Source organism: Homo sapiens, chromosome 2 (assembly GCF_000001405.40).
Source record: "Homo sapiens chromosome 2, GRCh38.p14 Primary Assembly".
Classification (NCBI taxonomy): Eukaryota; Metazoa; Chordata; class Mammalia; order Primates; family Hominidae; genus Homo; species Homo sapiens.
The window spans coordinates 227,522,856-227,542,048 of NC_000002.12; the positions used below are offsets into that span (position 1 = coordinate 227,522,856).

A 19,193-nucleotide genomic window follows, 5' to 3' on the forward strand; every position below is an offset into this window, starting at 1 on the left:
TTGACTCGCCTCCTCACATAAATCATGTGTTTATATGACTGGAATCAAATCTGAAAGACCTGTGAAGTTTCCTCTTTCCATGTCAAAGCAGAGTAGCTATGAGTATTGTATTATCGTAAATTTTTTTTCCTTGATAGATGTTGGGTTTGTTTCCCAGTTTTTGTGAAATTATAAAGAGAGGACTGTGGTTAACATCCATGTGTACATGCATCTGTATACACTTACCAATTCTTAAGGATGTTTCTGGAAGTGGCACTTCTGGTGCACAAAGCACACCTATTTATATATTTTAGTAGGTAGCAATAAAAAATTGTAAAGTTCACACTTAGCTCATAGGTGAATAAAACCTTAATTTGCATTTTTGTCAGGTTAAAAGTGTTTTCATTTTTGTGTCTCCTGTCTTCTGTGAATTGCTTCTTTTGTTCATTTAAAATGGGATGATCTTATTCTTACAGATGTAATAAGCCTTTATATTTTAGGCTGTTAACTGTAATATTACAAATGTTTTCCTACCTCATCTTTCTTCAAATGTTATTTAGATCTTAAGATAATTTTAAAAATTATAGTATGAACTATTCATGGTGATGACTAATTGTAGGTCCTCTGTTTAAAAAAAGCAGTTATTTCTTATATTGTACTTAATATCTTAGAAAAACCATAAATAAGTAATTGAAACAAGTTTTGTGGTTAGTCTTCTCTTTTCTCTGAGTATTTCAAATATTTAATGGGTGTAGTCTTAAGCTGTCGTTCCTTTTTTAAAAAATATGCAAAGTTATTCTGTGTGAGAGGGTTTTCAGATAAGATTAATGGTGAAACAATCTTGTACAAAGTTAGAATTAAGCTTATCATTTTTTGATATAGAATTACCTACATTTTTTTTTAGTTAACTGTTTTTTACATGTTTTAGGTATGTCCCGCCAGAACAAGCCAAAGTCGTGGCATCAGTTCATGCATCTATTTCAGGGTCCTCTGCCAGTAGCACAAGCAGCACACCTGAGGTCAAACCACTGAAATCTCTTTTAGGGGATTCTGCACCAACACTGCACTTAAATAAGGGCACACCTAGTCAGGTGAGTAGTCTTTGAATCTTTGTAGGGAATTCGACTTAAAGAGGGCTTGAGTATCAAGAATTTGAGAATTGTTTAAGACAGCAGCATAATCTTGTATGCCAGTAGCATTATGTTCCAATGGTTTGTTATACATTAAGAAATTGTTGGTTAAGTGGTTGAAATGTATATATACTTGTTCTTTTTGCTATTGCTAATATGAGTTTCTTTGACTTCTCTGCAACTTTGTAAAGGTGAGTTATACAGGAATGTTGCTATAGCTATATATATGTGTGTGTGTGTATACATGTATATATCATGTGTTATACAATTTGTAAAACATGAATCTATGGTGACCATCAGAGTTAGAATGTATAGTCTCTTTGATACACTTTTCTAGGAAGGGATTTCTTTAGTAGTAGAGTTTTCCCACATGTGTGATTGTGAAGCATGTTGATCATTGAAACACAAGGGACTTTGCATTATACCTTATTCTTAAAAATGAACAAAATGGAATATTTTCATAAGTTGCTACCTAAAGTTTGTCTTCTACACTTTATTATAGTTGATGGGGCTGTGACAGATCTGTTACTGTGTGGCATTGCAGCCTCTATCCTATACAAGAATGGTTCAGAGGCGTAGTACTGTGGATTAAATCCTGCCCTTTTTGATGACACATACTAAGACATTTAGATAAATTTCTCTGTTTTCACAAAAGATTGAGTGAAAAATGAGAAAGGTTAACTCAGCATACTGTAACTCTTCGTATGTATAAGTGTGTTTTAAGTTTGCAGATAGTTTTGTATAAAGATTTTGCAGATCCGACTGGAATATCTTTATAGTTAATATGTGGTTTGTAGTCCCCAGTTGTAGGTCGTTCTCAAGGGCAGCAGCAGGAGAAGAAGCAATTTGACCTTTTAAGTGATCTCGGCTCAGACATCTTTGCTGCTCCAGCTCCTCAGTCAACAGCTACAGCCAATTTTGCTAACTTTGCACATTTCAACAGTCATGCAGGTAAGTGTTTTTTCCCAACAGCTTTTGCTGGGGATGCATATAAAACACCAAGAAACATCAATTCTTTATCACACTTTGAGGATCAGTAAACATTTTTTGTTGAAAATGTTTTGTCACTTGTAACTGTTGAGCTGTAATATGTAACCATATAATTGTGTTGCTTTTTAATCACAGAAGAGATTATATTTAATGTCGGTTGGCATGACCTCTTTCCGTGGAAAAATGGGGAAAGGATGTAATGTCTATTTTTTATTCTTTATGAAATTGAAAATATTCAAAAGTAATTGGATACTCTAACGTTTATGTGCTAATCACTCATGGCTAATCTTGTTTCATTTGTCATTCCAGTCACTGTCATATTATTTTGAAGCAAATTTTAGACATAGTATTAGTTTATCCTTAAATATTGTGTATATCAATCTATAAAACATACTTTTTTTGTTAAATATAACCATATTAGTAGCATCATTCCCTAAATAATAGTAGTAATAATAATTCATTAGGATTCAAATGTTCATTATAGTTCAGATTTTTCCATACACATACATACGTACATATGTACATACATGCATATATACATACATACAGTTTGTTTGAATCAGATTTTCAACAAGGTCCACAGACTGCAGTTGTGAGACATGTCTCTTAGGTCTCTTAGTTCATAAGATTTTTCCTGTATTCCTTCTTTTTCCTCCTCTGTAATTAGTGAAGAAATTTGCTTATTTGTCCTATACAGTTTTCAGTAGTCTGAATTAGTTGATTGCACCACTATGGTGCCCTGTAACAAGTTCCTATGTTCTATTTCTTGTTATTAGGTTGTTGGATCCAGAGACTTAATCAGTTACAGGTTCTTCCTATTAGGAGGATGGGTGGCTGGGGATATTCTTACTACTTGGGATTTAAGAGGCATGTAATTTTGGATTGTGTTTTTATAATGTTAGCTCTTGGTGCTCAGTACCCGAGTCCATTGCATAAAAATAATGATGTTCTGAATTTATTCCTTCACTTATTAGCTGAAATACTATTTAAAAATCTTTATCTGGTGGCATGATTTGTTTAGGAAAGTCAGAATACATGATTCTTTTCCATCAGATATCAGAATAATGAGTTGATTTCCTAGCATTTTATAATGGTGACTTTTTTCTTTAGTATCATTATGACTTCATAGATTAAAACATTTGCTACATCTCAGTTTGCTGTCATTATTATCCTTAGTAGTACTCAAATTAGCCCACCTTAGGAGTAGGAACATTGTGAGGTTGGTTCCTATAGATACAACTCATTCATTCATTCATTTATTTGAGGTGGAGTCTCGCTCTCTCGCCGAGGCTGGAGTGCAGTGGTACAATCTTACTGCGACCTCCGCCACCTGGGTTTAAGCTATTCTCTCACCTCAGCCTCCCAGGTAGCTGGGATTACAAGCGTGTGCCACAGCACCCGAAATTATATACAAATGTAAAATTTTGTATTTTAGTAATACAAAATACTAATTTTTTATTTTTAATGGAGATGGGGTTTCACCATGTTGGCCAGGCTGGTCTCGAACTCCTGACCTTAAGTGATCTACCCACCTTGGCCTCCCAAAGTGCTGGGATTACAGGCATGAGCCACTGTGCCCAGCCTCTTTTTTTTTTTTTTTTTTTTTGAGATGGAGTCTCACTCCCTTGTTCACACTGGTGTGCAGTGGCACAATCTTGGCTTACCGCAACCTCTGCCTCCCGGGTTCAGCCAATTCTCCTGCCTCAGCCTCCTGAGTAACTGGGATCACAGGCGCCCGCCACCACTCCCGGCTGTTTTTTGTGTTTTTTAGTAAAGATGGGGTTTCACCATGTTGACCAGGCTGGTCTCGAACTCCTGACCTCAGGTGTTCCACCTGCCTTGGCCTCCCAAAGTACTGGGATTACAGGTGTGAGCCACTCTGCCCGGCCCTAAAGATACTTTTTTGATAGAACTCTTGTGGTCTTTGAATGGCCTTTTCTCCCTTCCTTATTCTCAGATTTAACATATTTGTTACAAACATGTTTAATGCATGTCACCAGAAATTGGGATTTATGGAGTTTTATTTTGTTAACAAGCATGCAAACCTTGCAGAGGTACTTAGGTTAGGTAATATTTAAAAATTGATTATTGAAGTATAGATTTGGTCACTTGTATCTCTCCTTAATTGTAATAGCAATAGTCTGATAGGGAAGTGGCATAATGTAGTGAAAAGAACCTGGGCTTTGGAGTTGGGACAACCTGGGTTCAGATGCTGGCTTTCTTGCTTATTATCTGTGTAACTTTGGGCAAATTACCTAACATTTCTAAGTTTTCTATTCTATAAATTGTCTTTGATAAGTGGCAAGGTTCAAGTGAGATGATGCATTTAAGTGGTTTACCATCTAAAAGGTACAATAAACATTGTTTGTCTTCTCTCTTTTATACACACTTCATATATATGTACATACGTATACACATATACACTTATGTATGTATGTTTGTATGTTTACATGCATTTAAGAAAAAGGATCATACTTTATGACAAGTTTTTATGCTGTTTTAATGTTTCAGTCTTAGTTAAGATTCCACAAATGGTTTAGATTCATTTCCTAACAGCTTGGTGATTTCTTGAGTCTTTACAGTTGCTTCTTTATGCTTAAACAGTGTAAAAGCATACATAGTATTTGTGTTGGAAATGCGTATGGAATCTATTTTGGATGCCAGTAAGCTGTGATGTTTATATCATGGAAAGTTTACCAGTCTGCATTTTGAGTGATTAAATAAGTATCAAACCAAATGTAGAACATTAATTTAGGAATTTAGTCATTTTATAGCTTTATTTTGATAATTTAAAACTTTGCTTTATATTATTTTGGCACATGTGTATGAGGTATTGGCTAAAGCTTACTCTTTTATTTGTCATAGATTATGTAAGTTAAATTATGGACAAGAAAAATTCAAGACTGTATCTTTGTAAAAGATGTATTTCACAATTTTATGAGCATAACAGAATCCAGTGCTGATAGAATGGACTTCCTGTTTGTATTTTAGAACTTACTTTGCCTTATTTTACTTACCTGTGAGATTGTGATGGTTTTTCGTTTTCTTTCAATTTGATGACCTGGCTTCTTTTTGGATAATGATAATATGAAGTATATTATACATAATCACACTCCAAAATATGCTGTTTGGGATAGTTTGAAAAATTGTAGAAAAACTTCTCTCCAGCCACATTTCTTTCTAGCAAGCAATAAGGGAACCTTTTGTTTTAAATATTAATAAAAACATTTTCTAAGGACATGCTTTAGAAGGAAACTGGCGTAATTTTTATATGTCTCATTTGTGTATTTGCTTTAAAAAGGAGTCCTAGGATGACATGGATCTCTTTTTTCAGGAAAGGTTGTACTGAGAAGGATAAGAAATTTTGGGTTTCTTTTGCTTAAGTTGTTGGAGTTGTGGTAGATTTCCCTTCTCCTGTGTTACCTGAGCTGCAAAATCCCAGAAAACATGGAGAACCTCTTTCCCCGTAACCCTCCAGATAAGAAGCGATTTCCCCCCTGACCAGATAAGGACCCCAACTCTCTTTTTTCACCTCTTGCGTTTGAGTGCTGGTAAAAAGAGTTGGTGGGAGAGCCAATAAATAGAGTAAAACTTGTGTAATTTATGAATATATTCTGGTTTTATCTCCATTTTAGGATTATTGAAATGTAATGCAAAATTACTGATAACCACCAAATTCTTTTGTAAATTTGCAACTTATTTCTTGTTCCCTTTGTTTTTCTCTCTTTAAATGCAGTTTGTGAGTCTTCACAGGTAATGTTGGACTTTTCTTTGTAGCCCTATTGGCCAAAAATGGTTAGACAAGTCACTGCAACTCTACAGACTAATTTGTACCATGGTTGCACTAATACTTTCAACAGCTCCCTTAAAATGCACTTTGAAAACAATAGCCATCATTTAATTGTAGGATATGCAGTAAAGGAAAAGAATCTTATATTTTGATCAGATTGATAGAAAGTGGTTAATCTTAACTGTTTTGTTCCTTGTCTGAAGAAAGAATGAAATAGCTACATGTAGGCTGTGAGTCAGGCTGCCTGAGAGGAGTTGTTTTTTAGTCTGAAGTTCTTAATTACAAATGACTGCTCAGATTACCTTTTTTTTCTTTACTTTATTTGACTTTTGGTTTCATTACAGGAGAATAAAATGTATATGCCTGTTACAAGAAGAAACTACTGAATTACTCATTTATTTTTCCTTCTACTATGGTTGATACCATCTTTTGACGTTTTGCCTTGGAGTAGTTTTTAGTTAAATACTAGGTCATGGTTTAACTGAAATGTCTTTTTCCAGAGCCTTTCCAAGCATTCAGAATCCTTAGTTTTCCATATATAGTTCAGAAAGTCATTGATTGCCAATTTCTTCTCATCCTGATATTCTTGTTAATTTTAAAAAAAATTAGGTGAAAATTTTATCCTGAACAGTTTGATACGACTGATGGAACCATTAATGGCAAATGATAATTATTCACATATGCCAGTCTGGTTCATTAGCATTGTTTTGTAGGGAAACTTTTTCTTTTGTAGATAATTTAGTGTGACTTAAAAGCCAGAAGCCTTTAGTCTTCATGTGAGCATTCAGGCTGAGGTATAGTATTTGTGGATGTGTGTTGCTGGGTGGGGTCATTATTGGGTTCAGAAAAAGTCATCTTCTACAGAAAGACGCATGAAGCTAGAAATAAAATTCACCTACTGAATTTGGTTATTTTGCCTGATGATAAACATCATATCCCAAAACCTGTGCACTGTAAACTGTAATTGATTTTTGTCACATTCTATACTGTAGGATCTAAACCCAACTGCCTTGCAACTCAGGTAACACAAATGAGTAGTATAATGTTGTGTTTAAAGAACTATGGTGCCCTTTTTAAAGGGGATGTTCTAATCTGTTACCACATGGAAATAGGGGTTTAGGATACTAGATATATTGATTTTTTTTTTTTAATAAGAGAAGCTAGAAGTCTTTTTGTTTATTGTGAAGTGCCCTCTTTTTAAATGTTGGGAATTCATGGGAAATAATGTTAAATACTATACAGATGAAACAAAGCATATCTGTCAGATGAATTTGCTGAGGGCTGCTAGTTTGCGTCCTATGATCTATCTTCCTGTCTCATGAATATGTGTTTTTCTTTGAAGAGGAATGACAACTATTAGCAAGACTCAGGCTCATTAATTTGGGGTCTTAAGTTCCACACTAAGTTGACTCCTTTGTACTTTTTGAAATACGATTATTCAAGAAACAGCTTTACCATTGTGTTACATTCTGCTTAGCTTGGATTTCTTTGTACAGAGATTGCCTGAGTGTCCAGACAGTAATTTTTGTATTACTGAATTTATTAGTGTTGAATTTGCAAAGTTGTGTTTTCCAAAGTTTCATTCTGCAGCACTTATAATCGATTGTTGAAGATAGTGAATAGATCAGTACCTAGAAGTAAAAATGGATACAAGTACTACAAAGTCCTGTCTTGCCTATTTAATAGGTATTCTATTAATGTTTGGGGCTCTGAATTATATGCTATAATTTCTATGCTAGCATTCATTGTTTCTTAAATTTTAATGAGTTTAAAATTGCAGGCTTCTAATAGAATATGAATATCTTCAATTTATTTGGTGATCTTGTCCTTTTTTTAAATTTTTATATATGACCATGGTGAGACATTTGTAAACTTAAAAAAAGCTCTATTAATTAAACCATTTTTGTATTATTATTTTAAGTATTTCAGTTATTATTCAGATTCACATAGTTGATTACCATTTTTAATCAGTGAATTTTTCCAGGATGTTTTCTACATCTTTGTCTGCTTTCCTATAACTCAGTACTGTAACTCAGTACTCTGAAATAGTTTCCTTTGTTAATAGAGTCACTTTTATAGTACTGTGCTTGAGGTCATATACAGAGTATTGTGTCCAAATTTATCATTGCACAAAGTGTTTTTGGAAATTCTTGGTTACTCCTTAGTAAATTACCTGTAATTGGGTTACATGCTGGTAGGGTTTAAAATCTGATTGCTAAGTGAATTCTCTATAAAGTGAGTTTTGATACATAGAAACTTTTCATATAATTCTTAAACTCATGTGTCATGTATTTTCATTTATAGTTTTCATATTCATTAACATATGTTGTTCCTTACCATTTACAGCTCAGAATTCTGCAAATGCAGATTTTGCAAACTTTGATGCATTTGGACAGTCTAGTGGTTCGAGTAATTTTGGAGGTTTCCCCACAGCAAGTCACTCTCCTTTTCAGCCCCAAACTACAGGTAGAGCTTCTCCAGCATTGTGCTTAAATGTTTACTTTACAAAACAAAACTCTCTAAATGTAGTTTTGAAAAATTAGTCTAAACTTAAATTCTGTAATTATCTGACTTTAAAATGGTTCTATCTTCAAAAGCTCTGGGGAAACCTGAACTCTTTATTTTTTTCTATGTTCATTTGTTTTTCTGCATTATTTGGTATATTGTCTGTTTGACAACATCCATTCTCCTCCTTTTCCTGCGCATGAATCTTCCTTATATCTACCATGCACACAGGACAGAGGCATGACACTACTATAAGTATTTCTCTCTCTCTGTCTCTTTTTTTTTTTTTTTGGCAATCCTCCTGCCTCAGGATGGAATACAGGCACATGCCACCACTCCCAGCTAAATTTTTTTTTTTTTTTTGGTAGCAGCTGGGTCTCACTATGTTGCCCAGGCTGGTCTTGAACTCCTGGCCTCAAGTTATCCTCCTGCCTTGACCTCCCACAGTGCTGGGATTACAGGTGTGAGCCACTGTGCCCAGCCAGTACTATAAGTTTTTTAAGGTTCATAGAATCCATTGATTTAGGCTGACATTATACCTCTTAATAAAGGAAGCTGGTTGCTTCTGTAGAGCTAAAAATGTAAGTAATTTTCGGGGCAACAAGCCTGAGAAAAATTTTTATATGTTTATTAGACAAGAGTAGATTAATGATCACTTCAGTCAAACTTGGAAATAGTTTTCTGTGCAGGAATTGGTGTTTAAACATTGAATACTCTTTCCATAAATTGTGCTGTTTTCGTAAACTCATGGAACCCTTATTTAGATTTTTGGCTGATTACTTTTCTTTCAACTTTTAACTCTGTGTATTGTCTTAAAGCCTTTTCTTTCAATTTTCTTTTTTGTTTTTTCTTTAACTTTCATCATTTACATAATTTCTGGCTGTCCAGCATTTAGAATGCTTTCATCTAGCTGCAGTTTTGGTGAATTTACTTCAGCTTTTCCTCTTCAGGCTACCCACAGTAAGTTCTGTTGTCAAGTAGGCATCTTATACTAATTTGTATATTTTTGCTATACTTCAAGGGTTTTTCCAGTTATAGATTGTTAATAATTCTTTAGTGATAATCCTTCATAAAAATCTCTTCCAACTCTATTTATTAAACTCAGAGTTAGAGAACACAATAGTAGACAATCAAAGAGTTACTTGGTTTAATAATAATTTGAAATAATATTCTTTATATAAATTTTGAAAGTTTAGTATGTACTTTGTTTGCCAGCTCCTTGTAACAGGTCACAATATTTTACATACAAACATATATTACTTACCTTTAATTGAAACCACCATGATTTAACTCTTGAAAGAAATTTGATCAGTGTATATTTTTTTTAGAATGTATAAAAACCTGCTTGATAGAAAGTGTTCGTGTTTTTTTAATAGAAGTTCATGCATTCTGTTTTAAAATTATCTGTAGTTGTCTTTTCTATCACTTTAATATATAACTGTGTATATATACTGTTTTGATTTCTGAAACTAAAGTTTAGAAATAAAGAACTAATATCCCAAAAATGTAGGATCAAAAGCATAGAATGAAATATACTGGTTTTAGTCTTTTGATAGTACTTTAAGGAGGTCTCTATAATAGAGAACAGATTTTAAAGATGTAACAGGATATATATAATAGTGGCCATTAGGTGAATTGTGGTTTATAAAGTCAAAAATTGCTATAATGTATTATGTACTGTAATTTTAATGCCTTGAACTATATGGTACGGCATGATTTTACAGTGGACATCTTGATATTGTATACACATTAAACTATTATGTGGAATTAAATAGTAGCTCTTCAAGTGAAGTAAGTATAAATGTCAACGACCATCTTTTAAGGAATTTTGGATCACCGTAACACATTTTACACATTGTTAATCGCTACCCCTGGGATTGTTTAAACTGTTTCGTCATGGAGCCACAAAAGTTTGAAATCCTCCTAGTAAGATACTTTGCATCTTGTTTGCAGTCTGTTCAGGGAGAACTAGTGAAAGGCTGTAGTATATTTGGACTAGAAAGTAACTGAATCTCAAACCAGGTAGTGTGGAGATACCCCTCCATGAATTACATTCTTCATTCCAGGGTAGGTAATACACAGAAACATGTTACTTTACCTGTTGCCAAGGCCTTTGAAAAATCTACTTTTACAAAATTGGAAAACGTCACTTGTAGTCAAAAGCCATTGCCAGTCATTGATTTTAATGTTGTAAGATTGCTTATAGGACATTTAATTTAGGAAGAAATGATCATACAGTCTATGAGAGGGTACTAGGAAAAGCTTAGAAATTTCAAGTGCTCTGTTTATTCTGTTACAGGTGGAAGTGCTGCATCAGTAAATGCTAATTTTGCTCATTTTGATAACTTCCCCAAATCCTCCAGTGCTGATTTTGGAACCTTCAATACTTCCCAGAGTCATCAAACAGCATCAGCTGTTAGTAAAGTTTCAACGAACAAAGCTGGTTTACAGACTGCAGACAAATATGCAGCACTTGCTAATTTAGACAATATCTTCAGTGCCGGGCAAGGTATCAAGCTTTAAGCAAAACAAATACAAATTTGTGTTAAACAGTGCTCTTAATTTGGTTGTATTTATTAAAATCTGAACATGCTACACTTTTCTCAGTTGTTGTATAGAAATTTTGTCTGCACTGTCATTTTGAGTAAAATGTTCACTTGACACATTTTAGACCTGAAATATCAACTACAAAACTGAAGACATAGGGACTGATTTGTAAACTTTCAGTCTTACTAGTTGAGAAAAATTTTATTTTGTCCTAGAAGGCGTGCTTTACTTTTCTTTGGCTATAAAGAGCCAAGAAACCCCATTGGCAGAGCTGAATGGAGGATTATTTGGTGGTTTCTGTAATATATTTACTTCGAACAATTTTCCGTTAACATCTTGGTGGGTTTTTTATATTTAAAAAAAAAAATTCATGAATTTTACAGTATAGTCTTGTATCCAGTTTTATCTTAAGGCTAGTAGCCTCTACAAATGCATGTGGCACTGGTGAATAGCAGGTGTGTGTTGCTAAATGGAATTCTCCATTCTGATCTCTGGGCCTGTTTTCCTCCTCTCCAAAATGAGGATAATTCTAAGCATTAAACTCATGGAGTTGTGTTCTAAGTATTATTGCATGTTAAGGCATATAGAACAGTGCCTAGCACATAGTAAGTCCTCAATAAATGTTTCCCGTTATTACCATCTCTAATTTTTTTGTGGAGAATGCTGGGGAAATGATGCTATTGATAGACTGTTCACATTAGGTCTAGCATTATATGAATTTATATGTTCATGTGAACAAGATCCACCCGTCTTGGAGATGTTAACGTAAGAGCACTTGAGAGTTTCTTTCTTATGCATAATCCAGACAAATTTTTTTGGTACAGAGTGTTAATTTTTGTTAAGAGACATATTCTGTCTTTATCACAGTGGTATGTATAACAACTAATCCTGTCCAGTATGGTCCAGGTTATTTATTAGATTAATGATTTGGAATCCTGCTTAACTCTAAATCCATTTTAAGTTTACCTGTGTTTCATGGCAAATGTGGTTGATAAGTTGAAAGTGTAACTTTAAATTTTTGGTGTAACTTGATTTTGTTCGTTCCCAGGTGGTGATCAGGGAAGTGGCTTTGGGACCACAGGTAAAGCTCCTGTTGGTTCTGTGGTTTCAGTTCCCAGTCAGTCAAGTGCATCTTCAGACAAGTATGCAGCTCTGGCAGAACTAGACAGCGTTTTCAGTTCTGCAGCCACCTCCAGTAATGCGTATACTTCCACAAGTAATGCTAGCAGGTACCTTGTCTTAGCTAGCCCTCCTGCTTTGTGTTTTATCTTTTTTTTCCAACTTTGAATAATCAATTAAAAAATGACTGTTTCAAGGTATAATTTTAAAATTCTTGGATATTTTTGTAAATTTGAGGAATTTGAATTTAAATGCTAATTAAAATATAATCCTTGAATAATTGCCATAATTTTATCTTTTCATTGAATCAGACGTTTTGTTATGTTCTGTCCTTGAACACTAAACCGTATTTGAGAGCATGTACACATCTCAAAATGGACAGTTCCTTACAGATTGTACTCAGCAGAGAATCCATTTAGTAGTCAAATAATATACTTTAAAAATAGTTTTTAGTCATGATGATTAAACAGTGAAAGTCCCATATTATAGGCTTAGTTGTAAATACAGATTTTTAGAAGTGTTTGCACCAAAGCCCAAAATCAATTCTGTATCTCTTCAGTGTCATCCTCATATTTACAAATAAGCACATCTGCTGTTATGTTCATATATATCTGTTAGAATTCTTGGCAGTAGGAAGTCTAACACATTTTAGGACATTACACTTGTAAAAAACTTTTCTAGTCTTTATTTTAGAGTTGCGGAAATAGTCTCAGAAATACAAGAGATTTACCTATAACAATGTTTTATTCATCTCTGTTTTCCAATCCTGTGGATTGTATTTACTAATTTCTTTAGTTATCCTGGTAGCTTATTTTCCTTTAGCATCTTTTCTAGAAAGAAATGTTAGGATTGTAACACTTCCGGAAACATAAAGTCTGGAAACATACTTTATATATAATACATGATTTATTGATATTACATTACAGTACATCAGGGGTTCACAAACTGTGGTCCATGGAATGTTTGGGGTACCTGAGACCCTTTCATGGGGTCTGTGAGGTTAAAACTTTCTTTATAATAATTCTGAGAGATTGTTTACCTTTTCATTAATTGATATTTGCATTGATGGTGTGAAAACAATGGCAAGTAAAACTTGCTGGTGTCTTTTTATTTTTTTTTAATACTTTAAGTTCTAGGGTACATGTGCACAACGTGCAGGTTTGTTACATAGGTATACATGTGCCATGTTGGTTTGCTGCACCCATCAACTCATCATTTACATTAGGTATTTCTCCTAATGCTATCCCTCCCCCAGCCCCCCACCCCCGACAGGCCCCCAAGTGTGATGTTTCCCACCCTGTGTCCATGTGTTGTTCTTGTTGTTCAACTCACACCTATGAGTGAAAACATGCAGTGTTTGGTTTTCTGTCCTTGTGATATAGTTTGCTTAGAATAATGGTTTTTGCTGGTGTTTTAACATGAATATTAAGATAGTGGCACCAAACTGTACTAGTCGTTACAATAGTCATATTCCTTCCCACTACACATTCAGTTTTACTTGTATTTTTTATTTTTTTATGATGATTCTTAATGAAGCAGTAACAATTGTTTATTTTATTACATCTTTACACTTAAATGTCTTAATTTTCTTTGTGTTGATACTGATGCTGTGATACACGATATGTTCATTATTTTATGGCTACCCTGTAAATCGTTACTTTCTTTTTTTTTTAAGAAAAAAAATGAACTCTTTCAATATTTGTTCTCAGCAATGTTTTTGGAACAGTGCCAGTGGTTGCTTCTGCACAGACACAGCCTGCTTCATCAAGTGTGCCTGCTCCATTTGGAGGTATGTGCTTCTGGTATATACACTGGTTTTTACAAAGAACCCAAATATATATTGTGTAGCATTTTCTTAGGAGTCAAAGCAATGATTTGTTATCAGAATCCTTGAGTTTTCTGTCTTGATAAATATAGTGAAATAATTTAAATCTTAAATACAAAATGTATTAGGATTTTATAGTGTATTTTATAATTTTTTAAAGCTACGCCTTCCACAAATCCATTTGTTGCTGCTGCTGGTCCTTCTGTGGCATCTTCTACAAACCCATTTCAGACCAATGCCAGAGGAGCAACAGGTAAGAAAAAGAGACAGTGGAACAGTAAGTTTTGGGGAAGACATTTATCAACAAAGACACCATGTGAAGAACACCAGAAAATGGGGCCTCTTTCTTAGTGAAGTGAATGGCAATGGATAGAAGAGTTTGTCCATAAAGACAAATTCTAGCTGAAAGTTCATAAAATCCTGGAATTTAACAGTTGAGAGGGACCTTAGAAATTATCTAGTGTCTGCCCTTTCCAGTTAAAGCTTTCATTTTTCAGGTAGGGAAGCCCAGACATGGAGATGAGACTCCACAGAACGTTTATGACAGAGATAGGACTTGAACAGAGCAATTTAGATGTATTTGGTGGTCTGGTTTCAGAATTACTGGTTGTCACTCATGCAGTCTTAATGGAACCATTTTATGAGAAGTTTTTATTTTCCCTATGAGATTGCATCAGATGACTTTACTACATGAATTCTTAATTATTAGGTCTTTTTCTAGTGAATATCTCTTTCAGGTGTTAACATTTTTTAAGTTGTGGAAACTTGATTCAGTCGTGGGTATAATACTGAATATTTTCTCTTTTGATAATTTTTTCCCTTAATTCTCTTTGTTGTCTCCATTTTATTTTTTGATTCATACTGTAAGCCATTCACATCTTTCTCATGTTATACCTCTGATTTTTGTCGTATTACCTTAAACACCAGAGATATTTGCCAGTATCTTGGAATGTCAGCAGGTGCATTTGGTATGGCTGGGTATCCATTAAATCTAGAGTTTGTATGCTTTGTTTTTGTGTATATGTCACAATAATTTAGAACTAAAGCCTAAACTCCAGTTATAGCAAATGTTGATATGAACTCTTGAGAGATTAGGTACTTGTAACATTTTAATCAAACCATTAAGAATTACTAGTTTTTAGTAAATCTCTTTGTCATTGACAAGATTAAGAATCACAGTATTAGGAGTTTGAGCTGTAACTATTTTCTTTTCACATAAATGTCTTCACTTATACTCTGTTGGTAAGTAGCATAATAGATGTTTGATAAGTATTGGAATTTCACACAAAATTTAACTTTAAAAAAAGTTTAATTCAAGTGTACCTAATGAATGATTGTTTTAAATTTCCATTTGTACAATTTATCAGGTGTGTGATATGTGCAGTGTTTCTGTTTCTTAGCATACTGTTTTGATTTTGTGGACTGAGTTTGTAAAATGTCTCATGATACAATGGGTTTTTGTACATTGCCTCATTTAATCCACTCAGCTGTCATCAAATAAATATTTTAATTGTGTGACAGCTGAGGGAACAGGCCCAGAAAAGTTAATTGAACATATTTTGAGTACAGCCAGCCAAACTTGTGTTCGAATTCTGATTTATAGTTACTTGCAGGTTGACCATAAGAAAGCCTTTTGAATTTTGTTCTTTTAATGAATGGGGTAAGAATGATAGGGGGATGTTCAAACATTTATTGTGATAAAGTTGTTCACAAGATGCTATTGAGATATTTATAGATATTATAACTTCACTTAAGAACTGATGAATGGAAACTCAAATTATGTTTTGACTGAGCCTAATCATGTTGACCTGACTTCTCTGAGCCTTCATGTTGTCCCTCTCTATAGAATGTGAACAATATTCTCTTGCTGGCAGGTTTGTTGTAAAATTAGATGATGCACATTTACCCTGTATGGTCTTTGCGTTACAGCATATGCTCAGTAAATCAGACCTATTATTTTCCTTTCATGATTGTACCTCTGAGTTGGTTCTATCATTAGAGTTAAGGGCCTTTTTTTGCTTATTTTATTTAGAGTATGCAAGTTTTGTAAAAGTTGAAGTTCTACATAGGATATAAAATAATATAAAATGTACAACGTATGTGCAGATGATATAAGATAATTCTAGTATTAAGTAACAAAAATTTATTAGAAAGGTAAAACGACAGTGTCCACAAATGTTTATTTCAAGGTAATACATTTTTTCCATTATAAGTCATTTTGAATTTATCACGTTGGTCACCTTTATTAGATTATTATTGAATTGACCAAATCACAAGCATTAACTGCATATGTTTCTATTGAAGCTGAAATATAAACAATACTTCGACAGATGCACTACGCTTAAGAATTTCCAGTGTTTTATACCATCAAAGTTAATATTATTTAAGAATTTTTTGTTGCCTTCAAATACATTAACACTGGCCAGGCACAGTGGCTCATGCCTGTAATCCCAGCACTTTGGGAGGCCAAGGCGGGTGGATCACCTGAGGCCAAGAGTTTGAGACCAGCCTGGCCAACATGGTAAGACCCTGTCTCTACTAAAAATGCAAAAATTAGCCAGGTGCGGTGGTACGTGCCTGTAGTCCCAGCTACTTGGGAGGCTGAGGCAGGAGAATCGCTTGAACCAGGGAAATGGAGTTTGCAGTGAGCTGAGATCATGCCACTGGACTCCAGCCTGGGCGACAGAGCAAGACTCTGTCTCAAAAAAAACAAAAAACACATGTTAACACTGTGAAATTATATTTTGAGGTACCCTTTGATCCTAGCACTTTGGGATGCCGAGGTAGGTGGGTTGCTTGAAGCCCAGGAGTTTTGAGAGCAGCCTGGGCAACATGGCGAACCCCGTTTCTACAAAAAATAAATGGTGGCAGACACCTGGAGTCCTTCCTAGCTACTCAGGAGGCTGAGGTGGGAGGATTACCTGAGCCTAGGAGGTCGAAATTACAGTGAACTGTGATTGCGCCACCACACTTCAGCCTAGCTGACAGAGTGAGACTCTAGCTCACAAAAAAAAAAAAAAAAAAAAAAGGAGGTACCCTTATTGCATAATAGTTCTATGTGAAATTCGGAAAGTTTTATCAGTATATTTCTCTTTTTGTTTGTTGGTTTGTTTTAGACAGATTCTCACTCTGTCACCCAGACTGGAGTGCAGTGGCTTAATCTTTGCTCACTGCAGCCTCTACCTCCCGGATTCAAGCGATTCTCATGACTCAGCCTCCTGAGTAGCTGGGATTACAGGTGCGTGCCACCATACCCGGCTAATTTTTGTATTTTTAGTAGAGATGGGGTTTTGCCATGTTGACCAGACTGGTCTTGAACTCCTGGCCTCAAATGATCTGCCTGCCTCGGCCTCCCAAAGTGCTGGGATTACAGGTGTGAGCGACTGCACTTGGATCATTCTTAAAATGATGTTTAAATAATCATTTTTTCTGGATTTATAAAACTTTGGGGCTTTAGTTTTTTTTTTTTTTACTTTAAGTTCTAGAGTACATGTGCATAACATGCAGGTTTGTTACATATGTATACATGTACCATGTTGGTGTGCTGCACCCATTAACTCGTCATTTACATTAGGTATGTCTCCTAATGGTATCCCTCCCCCACTCTACCCGACCCCAAGACAGGCGCCGGTGTGTGATGTTCCCCACCTTGTGTCCAAGTGTTCTCATTGTTCAGTTCCCACCTATGAGTTAGAACATGTGGTGTTTGGTTTTCTGTCCTTGCGATAGTTTGCTCAGAATGATGGTTTCCAGCTTCATCCGTGTGCCTACAAAGGACATGAACTCATCCTTTTTTATGGCTGCATAGTATTCCATGGTGTATATGTACCACATTTTCTTAATCCAGTCTGTCATTGATGGACATTTGGGTTGGTTCCACGTCTTTGCTATCGTGAATAGTGCCGCAGTAAACGTACGTGTGCATGTGTCTTTATAGCAGCATGATTTATAATCCTTTGGGTATATACCCAGTAATGGGATGGTTGGGTCAAATGGTATTTCTAGTTCTAGATCCCTGGGGAATCGCCACACTGTCTTCCACAATGGTTGAACTAGTTTACACTCCCACCAGCAGTGTAAAAGTGTTCCTGTTTCTCCACATCCTCTCCAGCATCTGTTGTTTCCTGACTTTTTAATGATCACCATTCTAACTTGTGTGAGATAGTATCTCATTGTAGTTTTGGTTTGCATTTCTCTGATGGCCAGTGATGAAGAGCATTTCTTCATGTGTCTGTTGGCTGCATAAATGTTGTCTTTTGAGAAGTGTCTGTTCATATCCTTCGCCCACTTTTTGATAGGGTTGTTTGATTTTTTTTCTTGTAAATTTAAGTTCTTTGTAGATTCTGGATATTAGCCCTTTGTCAGATGGGTAGATTGCAGAAATTTTCTCCCATTCTGTAGGTTGCCTGTTCACTCTGATGGTGGTTTCTTTTGCTGTGCAGAAGCTCTTTGGTTTAATTAGATCTCATTTGTCTATTTTGGCTTTTGTTGCCATTGCTTTTGGTGTTTTAGTCACGAAGTCCTTGCCCATTCCTGTGTCCTGAATGGTATTGCCTAGGTATTCTTCTAGGGTTTTTATGGTTTTAGGTCTAACACTTAAGTCTTTAATCCATCTTGAATTAATTTTTGTACAAGGTGTAAGGAAGGGATCCAATTTCAGCTTTCTACATGTGGCTAGCCAGTTTTCCCAGCACCGTTTCTTAAATAGTGAATCCTTTTCCCATTTCTTGTTTTTGTCAGGTTTGTCAAATATCAGATGGTTGTAGATGTGTGGTATTATTTCTGAGGGCTCTGTTCTGTTCCATTGGTCTATATATTTGTTTTGGTACCAGTACCATGCTGTTTTGGTTACTGTAGCCTTGTAGTATAGTTTTAAAGTCAGGTAGCGTGATGTCTCCAACTTTGTTCTTTTTGCTTAGGATTGTCTTGGCAATGCAGGCTCTTTTTTGGTTCCATATGAACTTTCAAGTAGTTTTTTCCAATTCTGTGAAGAAAGTCATTGGTAGCTTGATGGGGATGGCATTGAATCTATAAATTACCTTGGGCAGTATGGCCATTTTCACGATATTGATTCTTCCTATCCATGAGCATGGAATGTTCTTCCATTTGTTTGTGTCCTCTTTTATTTCATTGAGCAGTGGTTTGTAGTTCTCCTTGAAGAGGTCCTTCACATCCCTTGTAAGTTAGATTCCTAAGTATTTTATTCTCTTTGTAGCAATTGTGAATGGGAGTTCACTCATGATTTGGCTCTCTGTCTGTTATTGGTGTATAGGAATACTTGTGATTTTTGCACATTGATTTTGTATCC

The 19,193-nt window shown here is 35.0% G+C and overlaps 1 protein-coding gene across 4 annotated transcripts in view, besides 1 other annotated feature; it reads left to right on the forward strand.

Moving 5' to 3' along the window:
- Positions 1 to 19,193, forward strand: part of AGFG1 (ArfGAP with FG repeats 1) — an 89,062-nt gene that overhangs the window by 50,700 nt on the left and 19,169 nt on the right. For 2 of the 4 annotated variants that reach the window (NM_004504.5, NM_001135188.2), the window contains exons 4-10: positions 908 to 1,070; positions 1,907 to 2,060; positions 8,236 to 8,355; positions 10,694 to 10,903; positions 11,990 to 12,170; positions 13,770 to 13,849; positions 14,046 to 14,138. In NM_004504.5, coding sequence (NP_004495.2) covers positions 908 to 1,070; positions 1,907 to 2,060; positions 8,236 to 8,355; positions 10,694 to 10,903; positions 11,990 to 12,170; positions 13,770 to 13,849; positions 14,046 to 14,138 — 1,001 coding nt within the window. Of the gene's footprint in view, positions 1 to 907; positions 1,071 to 1,906; positions 2,061 to 8,235; positions 8,356 to 9,282; positions 9,355 to 10,693; positions 10,904 to 11,989; positions 12,171 to 13,769; positions 13,850 to 14,045; positions 14,139 to 19,193 lie in introns of all 4 variants that reach the window. The other 2 variants (NM_001135187.2, NM_001135189.2) reach the window with 2 other exon arrangements.
- Positions 12,106 to 12,185: a silencer, noted in NCBI's record as "silent region_12400". NCBI's record gives its function as "represses an Ori minimal core promoter by ATAC-STARR-seq in GM12878 lymphoblastoid cells {active_cell/tissue: GM12878}" and the evidence as "EXISTENCE:reporter gene assay evidence [ECO:0000049][PMID:35858748]".